A 13,086-nucleotide genomic window follows, 5' to 3' on the forward strand; every position below is an offset into this window, starting at 1 on the left:
CTAAGTTCTTCAGTCTCCAAGACAGGCAGTCCAAGCTTCTAGAAACTCAAGCCATGCTTGGATCCAACCAGGGTCCAACCGACCACAAAATGTATCTAAAATACTTTTGACTATGCTGGATCCCTCTAATGTTGCTATTGGTTCTCTCTTGATTTTTCATTTACCTTGCACGTTGAAGTAACTGTGGGAAGAAATCTGTGTTCCCCTTAGGGGAAATACTGGAGGATTAGCATGGAGTCAAACTCAAGCTATTAGATGTTTTTCTCTTACTGAGAAACTTCACTCCTCTATCAACATTTCCACCATATAATGGGGTATACTACCTTTAGAGCGAATTAAAAAAAGTAATAGTTTATCTTCTTGTCTCTCCCATGGAATAAGGATGTGCAATAGCATACTGGGTTTCATTGCCTTCCTCCATACTATACACATACACAGTGACTTTTCCAAAGGCTACTTAGGACCATTTATTTTGTTTTGTTTTGTTTTTTTTATTTTGTTTTGTTTTGTTTTTTTTAGATGGAGTTTCACTCTGTCACCCAGGCTGGAGTGCAATGGTGCGATCTCAGCTCACTGCAACCTCTGTCTCCCGGGTTCAAGTGATTCTCCTGCCTCAGCCTCCTGAGTAGCTGGGATTCAGGCACATGCCACCATGCCCGGCTAATTTTGTATTTGTAGTAGAGATGGGGTTTCACCATGTTGGCCAGACTGGTCTCAAACTCCTGACCTCAGGTGATCTGCCCGCCTCGGCCTCCCAAAGTGCTGGGATTACAGGCAGGAGCCACCGTGCCCTGCCGAACCATTTACTGTTTTTTGTTTTGTTTTGTTTTGTTTGGTGAGATGGAGATTTACTCTTGTTGCCCAGGCTGGAGTGCAATGGCGCGATCTCGGCTCACCGCATGCTCCGCCTCCCAGGTTCAAGCGATTCTGCTGCCTCAGCCTCCCGAGTAGCTGGGATTAAATCATGTGTCACCACGCCCGGCTAATTTTGTATTTTTAGTAGAGACGGGGTTTCACCATGTTGCCCAGGCTGATCTCAAACTCCTGACCTCAGGTGGTCTGCCCGCCTCGGCCTCCCAAAGTGCTGGGATTACAGGCGTGAGCCACTGCGCCCTGTCATTTATTGTTAATTAGGTCTCACCTCTTCTGCTATGAGGTCAATAAATATCACCTGTCTTTGCAGGTCCAGGGATCCAGGCTACACGTTACTAGTCAAAGGCCATGGGGCAAGTCTTTATTGGAGATCAGATGGGCTGGGTCAGTCTGGCCTGGCCACAAGAAGTGAGCCTCACCTCAAAACCTGTTCCACAATGGCATTTCCTGACTGGCTATGTGTGTGTGCACTGACTAGCATGTGCTCATTCATTCATCAAACATTTACTGAACACCTGCTATGTGCTAGTGGCTAGAGACTCAGGGAGGAATCTGACCCATTCCCTTCAGTTAAGAAACTCAGTGTGTGGGAGGGCTGAATTATAAGTAAGTAGGTGCTATGATAAAACACCCCACAAGGCAGAAAGGGAGGATGAAGGAGGAGGATTTCTTAGAGGAGGAGGGACTTAAGCTAAACCTTGAAAGAGCAAGACGGAAGGGTGTTTTAGATGAAGGAACCTTGACAGCAGGCCCAGAGTGTGGATGGCTGGCTAGGGGCATAGCCCTCTCATTGACTTATCTGCCAGTCAGGGCCAGATTTTGAGGGCTTGCCACACCTTGCCAAGGGGTTTGATTCTTTTTCCGTAGGCCTAGCAAGTTTGCCTGCCCAAGGGGCTCTAGAAGTTCAAACGGAAACTTAATATGATTGTTTGATGTATTAAGTCTCTTCCCTCAACACTTGTAGGAGTGAACACTTTGAAAAGTGAACAGTTTAAGACTGAGATTCTTCACTTCATGTGGGAAGTGTGCAAAGTCCAAAAATGAGATTGAGCACCCAAGGAATTAGTCTCCCCTCTGCTCCTGCTCAGAGCCAGACCTTGTTGGAGAGGACACAGCTGGGTCTCACTGGAGGGGAAAGAAGTTTCTATGGCGTCATGCCCATGGAACCTACTGGTAATCTGACCTCTGGGGTTCTGGGGAAAGCTGTTTATGGGGAAGCAGAGTTTTGGTAGAGTTGCTCCACCACACAACAGCTTGGAGTAGAGGGATAGTGCCAGGAGAGGCTGCTGGCTGTGGAATGATGTAGGCACCAGGTCCTGAAGGAGTCCTGGCACAGCAGGGGCAGAGCTTGAAACCATGTGCACTGCAGCAGCCGGGAGGTGCAGAAGCTATAGGTGCTGGGAGAGCTCCCTGGAAGCTCAGATCAACTTTGTGCTGACAGCTTTCCATCACAAGTGAGCACTTTTGTTCCAAGGAGCCCTCTCAGCATGGGAGGTGGGTAGCCTAGAAGTAGGGGTAAGGCATGTAGGAGCGGTCTTTGCTGGAGACTTGGAAAAATACTCCAGCTACCTGAGCTTCAGGTTGTCAATTCTGGGGGGCATTCAGCATCTTCCCAGGAGGTCCCAGGGGAATCAGGCCCCCTGCATATAGCACCAGTCTCATTAACACACCCTAATACTGGCCTTTCCTCCTTGCCTGTCGCACTCTTCCTGCTTCCTCTCTCCGGCTTCTAGGGATCACCCTAAATACACCACCAGCAGGCAAGTCTTGTCACAGGCTCCTCCTTCAGGGCAACCCGTATTAAGGCAGCCTGTTTCCCAATGACTCCAAGCAAAAGCCCTCTTCCCAGGTGCCCTTCCCAATCCCATCTTGCTTCACAAGCGGAATAGCTTTTCCACTTCAATCAAATAAACCGTGTATTATTTTTTGTTTTGTTCACTTCCTCCTGTTTCCCTGTCTCGGGTGTATGACCACACCTTCCAGAAATGCCCTCCGCACTCTTTCTGTTATCCATGTGCATTACATCTTCTTCTTTTTCTTTTTTCTTTTCTTTTTTTTTTTTTTTTTGAGATGAAGTCTCACTCTGTCACTCAGGCTGGAGTGCGATCACGTGATCTTGGCTCACTGCAACCTCCGCCTCCTGGGTTCAAGTGATTCTCCTGTCTCTGCCTCCCGAGTAGCTGGGATTACAGGCGTGCACCACCACGCCCGGCTAATTTTTTTGTATTTTTAGTACAGATAGGGTTTTACCATGTTGGCCAGGGTAATCTCAAACTCCTGACCTCAAGTGATCCACCCATCTTGGCCTTCCAAAGTGCTGGGATTACATGTGTGATCCACCACGCCTGGCCTTGCATTACGTCTTCCAAGTGCACGCCATAAGACCTATTCCATGCTGCAGCCTCCCTTCTGTCACTCTTCCTATATTCTGTGTCACTACTCAAATGTCATTTATACTGTAGCACTTATGTGAATATTTTTGTATCATGTATTTTATGTACAGAAAATTTGGAGGAGAAAAGAGGTGATTTTTCTCTACTCATCCTCCTGGAAACTTCTCTTTGGCAAGTTGCTGCCACTGACCCCGCTCTTCCTCCCCTTAATCGTTCTACTGGCTCAAAAACCATAATTAAGGGAGCCAGACTTACATTAAATAAAAAAAAAGACAAAAATGTTTTTCAGAAGCATTCCCTGGAAATGTTTGCTTTAAGTTGAGGTTGGTGGGGCTTGAGCATTCATCTTGACAATAAGAGCAACGAAAGCAGTATCTCTGGTAGCTGATCTCTCTCACCTCTGTCTTTACCTCCAATGACTCCTCTTATTTTTGTCATCAGCAAAATATCTGTATGGGAGGGGAAATTGCTGATGAAATGCTTTTTTGACAGTTAACAAATATTTCCTGAGTGCACACTCTCTACAGATCCTTGGAAGGGCCCATGTGAGAAGTGGATTCGTGACATTCGGCACTGCCCTCTCCTTCAGGAGTCCCTCACCCTTGGGCTTCCGTCAAAGACTCCTGGGTTCTTCCCAACAGCTCTCAGTTACCCTCCTCTTTCTCCCTTGGGTGATGCCCTCTGCTTCCTCCACCCTCAGTGAAGGCACTGCACTCTCCTTTCCTGGCTCCTGGTCCTCACTCTCCCCTCACCCTCCACATGGATGCTGCCCAGAGACACTCCTCCACTTCCCAGCTGCCTGCTGGGGCATTTCCACTGAAAAGTTCCACCATTACTTCATGCTCCATGGAACCTTCAGGAGCTCTCCTGAAAAGCAGCCTCTTTCCATATTGTTCCTATTTCTGATGCTCCAAGGCACCCAGCCTGGAAGCCTCAGCTTTGCCTTTGCCAGTTCCACTCCCTCATTGCACACATCTGGTCACCAAGACATCTGGTCTTCCAAACAAGAGCCCTTCCCTTCCCTTTTCCCTTCCCTTCCCTTCCCTTTTCCCTTCCCTTCCCCTTTTCCTTCCCTGTGCTTCCCTTCCCCTTCTCCTTCCCTTCCCCTTCTCCTGCCTTCCCTCCCTCCCTCCTTTCTCTTTTTCTTCCCTTCCCTTTTTCCTTCCCTTCCTTTTCCCTCCCTTCCCCGTTTCCTTCCCTTCCCTTCCCTTTTTCCTTCCCTTCCCCTTTTTCTTCCCTTCCCCTTTTCCTTACCTTCTGCTTTTCCTTCCCTTCCCCTTCTCTCTCTCCTTCCTTCCTTCATTAGTTCCTTCCTTCCTTCCTTCCCTCCCTCCCTTCCTTCCTTCTCTCCCTCCCTCCCTCCCTCTCTCCTTTCTCTCTTTCTTTTCTTTTCTTTCTTTTTTTGAGACAATTTCATTCTGTTGCCCAGGCTGGAGTCCACTGGGGCAGTCACAGCTCACTGCAACCTCAACCTCCCAGGATCAGTTGATCCTCCCACCTCAGCCTCCTGAGTAGCTGGAACTACAGGCACATGCTACCATGCCTGGCTAATTTGTGTGTGTGTGTGTGTGTGTGTGTGTGTGTGTGTGTGTGTGTGTGTGTGTGTATGCGCTTTTTTTCTTTTTCTTTTTCTTTTTTTTTTGGTAGAGACAGTTTTCGCCATGTTGCCCAGGCTGGTCTTGAATTCCTGTGCTCAGGTGATCCACTGCCTTGGCCTCCCAAAGTGTTGGGATTACAGGCATAAGCCACTGCACCCAGTTGGAAAATTCTTTCCTGTCCCTCCCTGCTGCAACTCCCCATCTACCCCATGACTCTGCTGGTTCCTAGGCCATGGGTCTCCCCCATCTGGTTCCCAGGGCCATTTAGGTGCCCTCTATTGCATGCAGGTTCCATTCTAGTCATTTTGAGGTGTCCAAGTACTGTTTGGTTGCCTTGAGCCCCCTCACTTTGGCATTTGATGCCTTTTCCACCCTCTGACCCCATCCACCTTTCTAGTATGCCTCATCCCATTTTCTAGCATGTGTGTCCTGCCCCAGGCAGCCTCTGCTCAGGAAAGCTGGTCCACCCTCTGGGCACTGTTCACACACCCCATCACCTTGGCTGTCTTCCCCAACCTAGACCTGCTAACTCTGGAATAGTGCAATACCGCTTCCTCCAAAAAGACTCCCTTGACCATGCTGCCCACTTGGGATAAGTAGCATCTTTTTTTTTTTTTCTTTCTTTCCTGGCAATGAATCACTATTATTAGGTCGGAGCAAAAGTAACTGTGGCTTTTCCCATTGAAAGTAATAGCAAAACTGCAATTACTTTTGCACCAACCTATTACTTTTTCAAGTCCTTTTATATTGTTTTGAATTGTTAAGTTTTCAAGGGTCTATTTCATTCAATATGTCAGCAAACATGTATTAAGTACAGGTTGGGCAGGGCGCAGTGGCTCACATCTGTAATCCCAGCACTTTGGGAGGCCGAGGCGGGTAGATTACTTAAGGTCAGGAGTTCGAGACCAGCCTGACCAACGTGGTGAAACCCCGTCTCTACTAAAAACACAAAAATTAGCCGCGCGTAGTGGTGGCCACCTGTAGTCCCAGCTACTCGGGAGGCTGAGGCACGAGAATCGCTTGAACCCGGGAGGCAGAGGCAATGAGCCGAGATCGCGCTACTGCACTCCAGCCTGGGCAAAACAGCAAGACTCCATCTCCAAAAAAAAAAAAAAAAAAAAAAAGTACAGGTTGTTGTTTTCTCAGGGAATCCTCATAGCTGGTGAAGTATCCAGCTTTTCATTTTACGGATGAGTGAACTGGGGTTTAGAACTGATAACATTTTGCCCAAGTTCTCACAGCTAGCGAGAGGCGTGCCGCAGTTTATCGTGGGGTGGGTCTAAACAAGGACCTAAAAACTGTATTCGAATCCCAGCCCTACTACCGCCAGCTGTGTGACCTTACGAGGCGCCTCACTTTACTGTTTCTCCAACAGAGACAGACATTTCTTGTTACCGCGCAAGTGGGATAACCTCCCCACCAGTGTCTAGACACAGTAGGTGCTCAATAAATAGGTGTGGGTTTGCGGTGGCAGAAGAGCGCTATCCCTTAAGTTTCTGACAGTGAGGGGGAAAAAGGCTAAGCAGGGAAAGGAAGGGAAAGGGGTAAACTGAGCTCGGCGCAGTCGAGAGCGCGAAATAGGGAGGGCTTCCTGCAGGCCAGGAATTTGGAGAGGCCGAGGCTGGGAGAAGAAAAATGCCCGGTGACGGCGGAGGGGAGGTGGAAGGACGAACGGCTCCGGGAAGGGGTGAGGTCTAAGCGCAGCCCCGGGCCCAGCGGAGCCGAGGGCGGGTGGTGCGGGGGTTCCTGGGTAGGTTCGTCCCGACGGGCCGCGGGCGGATTGAAGGGAGGGTTGGGCCCGCCGGCAGCCCCGGCGGGTCCAGGCCCCCGGCCAGCCCCTGCCCCTCCTCCCAGGAGGGCGGGCGGCGACTGCGGGGCGGGGCGCGGGCTCGCTCGGCCTCCCGGCGGCGCCGCGGCCCTTGCACTCCGGCCGGGCTCTGCTGGCTGCGGCGGGAGCTGGACGCGGGAGGAGGCGGCGGCGGCGGTGAGTGAGCTCCGGGCTGGAGCGGGGCGGGGTGTGCGCCGGCAGCCGGGTTTCGGGGTGCTAGGGGCCGCCCAGGGCGGCGGGACCCCCAGGGGTTCGGGCTCAGCCAGGTGCACTGTGCTCAGTCCGCGCGTCCACTCTCGGTGACCCGCGCCGCGCGTGTCCTGGGGCTCGAAGATGCGACCCGGACTCCCGCGCCGCGCCCCGCCGAGGGCAGGCGCAGAACAGATGCGGGCGATCCCTGGGGAACCCGCTTCGGGGCGGGGTGGGAGGGAGGAGGCCCTGCAGAACCTCCCTTTAGTGAAGAGGGACTTTCTGCCTTCGCACCCCTGCCTGGACCCTCCGGCTCTAGTGACAGCTGGGAGAGACTCACACGAAGCAGTTTCTGACCTATCCTGTCGTACACAAGTCCTCGGCGTGCTCGGCCGGACCATCCCCTGGAAAGAAAGGGGCGTGTGACCTTTCTCTCCCCGATCCTCCAGACCACTGCGCCGCCCAGGGAGGTCATCCCCGAGAGAGCCCCCGCCTCACTCGGAGCACACATTCTAGCTCTCCCCGGGACTTTTCCAAGTTGCATCACTGTTTGGCCTCTAGACAGGTACTTGGCTGTCATGTTGGAGTTAGTTACACAGGATTTTTGAAACTTTGTATATTTGCTTTGTGTGTTCTTCACCCTAAGGCCGCTGCCCTCCCGACTCTGCTTATGCCGCTCAAAACGTTGCTCAAAGCTCGCTGGGAATGCTTTTGCGGGCATTGGTTCTCAAACTTGGCCCCACATCTGGAGAGTTTTAAAAAATACTGGTGCCTGTGTCCCACTCCCAGAGATCTGGATTCGGCTTGCCTGGGTTGCAGCCTGGACAATGGAATTTTTAAGACGCCGCAGGTGATTCTAATGTGCAGGCAAGTTTGAAAACCTCTGCTTTGAGAGTTGCTCCCACCAGCCACTCTTCGGACGGCTCAAGATCAGTCCTGATCTAGAACTCATCTCAGGTCCTCATAGCTCTTCCCTAATCCACCTCTCCACCTGAAGAACCTGTTGATTGGTGCTTTCCAACTTTAGACAGTAGATGGTGCCTTTACTGAAGATCCCTTTGTTTCTACCTCTCTGTTTACAGTCAATACTGCCAGGGCACTTTCTGCCAAGGAGGTGGGAGTGTAGGCATTAGAACCGAGCAGTCCTTGTCAGGGTCAAGGTTATAATACAGGGTTGTCCTATTCAGGGAAAACCAAGTGATAATTTGACTTGTCATATTCGGGAATGATTTCAGATTAAAAGGAGAAAAAATACTTTAGGGTTTGGTCAGCTTTTGGAGACCCTCCGGAGACTCCCCCACGTAGATAATGGAGTTGCATAAATGTGGAGAATTTTCCTTCAAAAAGCCAAAGCTAACAACATCCTTAAGGTTTTGTGGTTGATATTTGTGTTAACATAAGTCCATTTTTGTAGATTAAACTTATTCTGGAAGTATGATGAAGCCCTGCAGACAGAACACAGTGTATAACATGGCACATCTGAGATGACACCTGAGACACCTGTCACATGGTCTTAAAAATGATAGAGAAGTAGGACTAAGGAAAATGTAACCATGCTTATATTGGCTAAATTAGGTCATATATTTTATCAAGAAAATGTGTTTTCACTGCCCTTTTTAGTAATGTGATAGTCTCCGGGGATCTTGGTTAATTTACTTTTGTACCCCAAATATGATGTTTGCATTAAAATTTCCACCCTGATGTTGCTACCTGACCACAAATCAGTGGTTTTAAGTTTTTCTTAGGGGGTGGCCCTCTATGTGTTTTTTTTTTTTTTTTTTTTTTTTTTTTTTTTTTTGAGACAGAGTTTTGCTCTTGTCGCCCAGGCTGGAGTGCAATGGTGCAATCTCAGCTTACGGCAGCCTCGGCCTCCCTGGTTCAAATGATTCTCCTGCCTCAGCCTCCCAAGTAGCTGGGATTACAGGCACCCGCTACCATGCTCGGCTACTTTTTTGTATTTTTAGTAGAGACAGGGTTTCGCCATGTTGTCCAGGCTGTTCTCAAACTCCTGACCTCAGGTGATCTGCCCACCTCGGCCTCTCAAAGTGCTGGGATTACAGGCATGAGCCACCGTGCCCCGCCTGTATTTTTATTAACAGTGGGATGACATCCTTCCAAGAATGCCTTGCTGAAGTGAAAGAACATTTACATTCATTTCTAGCTGCTAATGTAAGTCCAAAGAACATTCATTTTGAAAAATACAAAAATGACATAATTTTGCCCACTTGGTTTTCTCGCTTTTCCCCAACTTCCACGACCATGCTCTGCTGCTACTACTGTATTCACTTGCTGGAGGTGTGCACCCTGTGGGAGCCGTCTTCATTGTCTTGGCTTTGGCTTGAAATGGAGGTTACATGCAGCGCATTGTCTTACAGGGTGTCCCCTGACCCGAATCATCACCCTTTGGGGAGCAAGACTATATGGAAAGTGTTTTCCTACTGTTTTTTTTGTGTGTGTGTGTGTGAGTGAGTGAGACCATGCCAACAAAATGAAGCCATATTATTAAATGGTTTGTTAACTTCCAAATCTTGTCTCAATTGGGAAAAGAAAAATGCTTATTCGAGGATGCTGTTGAATTCATGGTGTCTGAAAAGTCACCCCTGAACAGCAATAGTTACACTGTGAATATAATAATACACTCTACCCCCCCAAAAAGAAAAGTTTATGTAAATGTGGGCCTAAGCACATTTATTGCAATTTCTCACTTTGGAGTAGCAGCTCTAATATCCTAAAGTGATTAGAAGAAAGTAAGTGAAGAAAAATATGAAGAAAGGGTTAGTGAGATACTTTTTCATTTAGGGAAAGGGGATACAGCAACTAGAAAAGGCCTTGGGTTTGTGTTAAGAATTTATTGCCCTGGTGGCTTCCTTTTTTTCTTTGTTTAATTTGCTTGTGCTGATGGGTGAGGGAGAGTTAAAGAAATTTAATGGCCTCCTAACTCTCTTTCCCCGTGAAACCCATTTATCTAAGAGATGCCATTGGCCTTTTAAAAATATCCAACTGATTTTATGCTTTTCCTTTCTTTTCATCTTCTGATCTCGGCACTAAAGGGCGGTGGCATGGCTGAGAGGTTGGCATCAGAGCAGGAAAACAAAGTTCAAGGGGAAACCAAAAATTGGGTAATTTTCTCTGAATGACCAAGTGCTTACTTTTTTCAGGCATGTGACATTGCTGTTATCAAGAAACCAGTTATGACATGAAAATCCTGAAAATGGAAAAGGAAAAAAGAAAAAAAAAGGGAATGGGGTGGGGGATGGAAATAGCACCAGGGTTGACTGACCTTTACCGAGGAGGGAAGGCTTAGTGTTTTCAGCCTGGTGTCCCCCGTGTCCCGATTGCAGCCCCCTGTACTTCTCTCCTCATGCACCCTCCTGCATCCCTCAAGCCAATATCCTTGGGGGAGATAGTGCTTCATCTTAAATTCACACTAAGGTGTCTTTTTGTTTTTGTTATTTGAGACTCTGCTCTGTCACCCAGGCTGGAGTGCAGTGATGTGATCTCAGCTCACTGCAACCTCCGCCTCCCGGGTTAAAGCAATCCTCCCTGCCTCAGCCTCCTGAGTAGCTGGAATTACAGGCATGCGCCACCATACCCCGCTTATTTTTGTATTTTTAGTAGAGATGGGGTTTCACCATGTTGGCCAGGCTGGTCTCGAACTCCTGACCTCAGGTGATCCACCTGCCTCGGCCTCCCAAAGTGCTCCGATTACAGGCATGAGCCACTGTGCCCAGCTGTTAGTAGCCCCTGTTACTAGCAAAAGCTATGTATTACCCAGAGTTGTTGGTAAACAGGATAAGGTTCCTGCCTTAAGGGGCCTGAGTCAGGTGGGGATGTAAACCCTGGGTTGCAATAAGTTAGGAACTTTTCTAATCAAGAGGAACACAGTGGCCCGTGGGGTACTGTGGGGCACCTGGCTAGCCTCGCCTGGGTAGATGCCTCCTCAATTCATTGGCACAGGAGGCATAAGACATGCTTTACTTGGGTTTACATTAAAGCTTATTCTATTAGGCCCGTACCCCAAATGACTGATTTTGGAAATGTCCGACTCCAGGAGCGAGAAGGGTGCAGGTATCCATCATGCAAAGGGGAGGTGGGAGGTGGAGGAAGAGAACAGATTCTGGCAGGTGTCTTTTGCTTCTGGAGTCTACTGAACAGGGGTACTTCCTGGGAGTGGGAAGCTCATGGAGAATGTGGCTGGATCCATTTTTGGCACATTAGTAACTGGTAAAGTAAGCTTAGTAGCGGCTACCTCCGCAACAGAGCTGAAAGGAGAATGCAAAGTGCAGTGTGAAAGCCGCAGCTGCAGCACTTTTTGGAGCAAGTGGTTGGGTTTGTATCTATGGCTCCTGCCAATGGGCAGACATTGGTTCCTCATCATACCATGGTTGCTGTAGCTCAGGCTTCCTTGGGCAGGCTGAAAACTGGACTTCACACTGTTTTTCCCTTGGGTAGGTGGTTTCCAAATAGCTGACCCATAGGGCTAATAACCTCATGGTTATAATAGTTACTATTTGTTTATTGACTGCCTTTCAAGTGCCAGGTAGCATGCTCAGCACTTTTCGTTCATTACTGTAAACCCTTTACATTCCTGAGAGGCAGGTGGCAGTGACCTCATTTTACATATGAGGAAACTGAGGCCCAAGGAGGTGCTGAATCCTGCAAAGGTGCATAGTAGTTGACAGTGGCAAAGTTCTCATGCCTGTAATCCCAGCACTTTGGGAGGCCGAGGCAGGTGGATCCCTTGAGCCCAGGAGGTCAATACCAGCCTGGACAACATGCTGAAATACCGCCTCTACAAAAAAATACAGAAATTAGCCTGGTGTGGTGGTGCGTGCCTGTGGTCCCAGCTACTCTGGAGGTCGAGATGGGAGGATGGCTTGAGCCTAGGAGGTTGAGGCTGCGGTGAACCATGATCATGCCACTGCACTCCAGCCTGAGTCACAGAGTGAGACCCTGTCTTAAAAACAAACAACAAAAATAAAATGGCAGAGTTGAAGTTCGAGAGTACTCTGGTCTGTCTGAATACAAAGCTAAGTTCTCTCTACTGTTTCTCGCTCCTCTTAAGCTGAGCTGATTAAGAAATTGTGTTCTCAGTGCCTTGTTTATTTTTTAACATCACAGTCTCCTTAGGTCTGAACTGATTTACTATTTTCCTCTACCTCGTGTAAATAGGAATTTTACTATTTTCCTCTACGTGAGGTAGAGGAAAATAGTAAATCAGTTCAGACCTAAAGAGAAAGTATTCCGCTAAAGGCCACTGCGACCTTGTGATCCCAAGGGAAATTTATGGACTGCTGCTTTTCTAGGTGTCTTAAAGAAGAGGGTAGATTAGGCTGTGCAGAAAGTCTCTGAACGGGTCCCACATCCTAGGTTAGAGAGACGTGATTTCCACCCTTCTTCAAGTTCTGCAAACCTCTGAGTTTCTGTAGATAATTGGTTGTTGGGTAAGAGATTAAAAACAAAATTCAGCGTTGGGCATTCTAGAATAAAACGAAGCTGTGCACATCCAATTCCTGTTTATGTGGTACTCGCGACAAAAACAAAACTTTGCTGCATAGTAATTACCTCAAGCTCTTAAAATTACAGGTAGTAAGGGCTTAGAGGCCATATGGAGTTATAATTAGAGATGAGTTTAAAAAAGGGCTAGTGAATGAATGTTCATTACTACAATGAGCACTAGCTGAATATTTCAACCCGAGAAGGATCAGCTCCAAGGAACATTTCCAGGGAGTTAGCGGAGGGTCGTCATGGAGTTAGAGTGTTTGGGATTAGTGCACAGAGCATTTGTTATGAACGTGCAATATTTCTGCCAGCCTGGCCAGAAGCCTCTTTGTTTACAGGGCAGGGTTTCTTCCCTGCTGCCCAATCACAGGGATTTCTGCTTTGCTTTGGTAGAGTACGTAATCGTTCAGGTGATTGCTTTGTAGTGTGTTAGGTCTGTAAAGCTCCTCGACTGTTAATAATCTTTTCCTGTTACTTATCTCTTTGCTGGAAGATTGAGGTAAGATGACCTCTAGTTTTGGCCTCAAGAATTCTCTTGTTTTTGACCTTTTCCCTTAGTTTTCTATCTTTGTGTTTCATTGCATTCAAAACAGGCCCTCTGTTTTCCCTTGCAAATTTATAGTCCACATAGGGAAGAGGAACGACTGTGACCAGGACTATCCAGGAATCCTGTGATGGGAGTGTTGTTAGTCCCATTTTCCAA

The 13,086-nt window shown here is 48.3% G+C and overlaps 1 protein-coding gene across 14 annotated transcripts in view, besides 1 other annotated feature; it reads left to right on the forward strand.

Moving 5' to 3' along the window:
• Positions 1,717–2,217: an enhancer, noted in NCBI's record as "H3K4me1 hESC enhancer chr15:57663634-57664134 (GRCh37/hg19 assembly coordinates)". NCBI's record gives its function as "activates a minimal SCP1, AML or CMV promoter by ChIP-STARR-seq in naive H9 embryonic stem cells {active_cell/tissue: H9 hESC(naive)}" and the evidence as "EXISTENCE:reporter gene assay evidence [ECO:0000049][PMID:30033119]".
• CGNL1 (cingulin like 1) overlaps positions 6,786–13,086 on the forward strand; it is a 174,213-nt gene continuing 167,912 nt past the window's right edge. For 10 of the 14 annotated variants that reach the window (XM_047433182.1, XM_047433187.1, XM_047433180.1 and 7 more), the window contains exon 1: positions 6,786–6,848. The gene's annotated coding sequence lies outside the window, so the exon portion shown is untranslated. Of the gene's footprint in view, positions 7,447–13,086 lie in introns of all 14 variants that reach the window. The other 4 variants (XM_047433184.1, XM_047433186.1, XM_011522121.3 and 1 more) reach the window with 2 other exon arrangements.

The sequence above is a fragment of the Homo sapiens genome, chromosome 15, assembly GCF_000001405.40.
Source record: "Homo sapiens chromosome 15, GRCh38.p14 Primary Assembly".
Classification (NCBI taxonomy): Eukaryota; Metazoa; Chordata; class Mammalia; order Primates; family Hominidae; genus Homo; species Homo sapiens.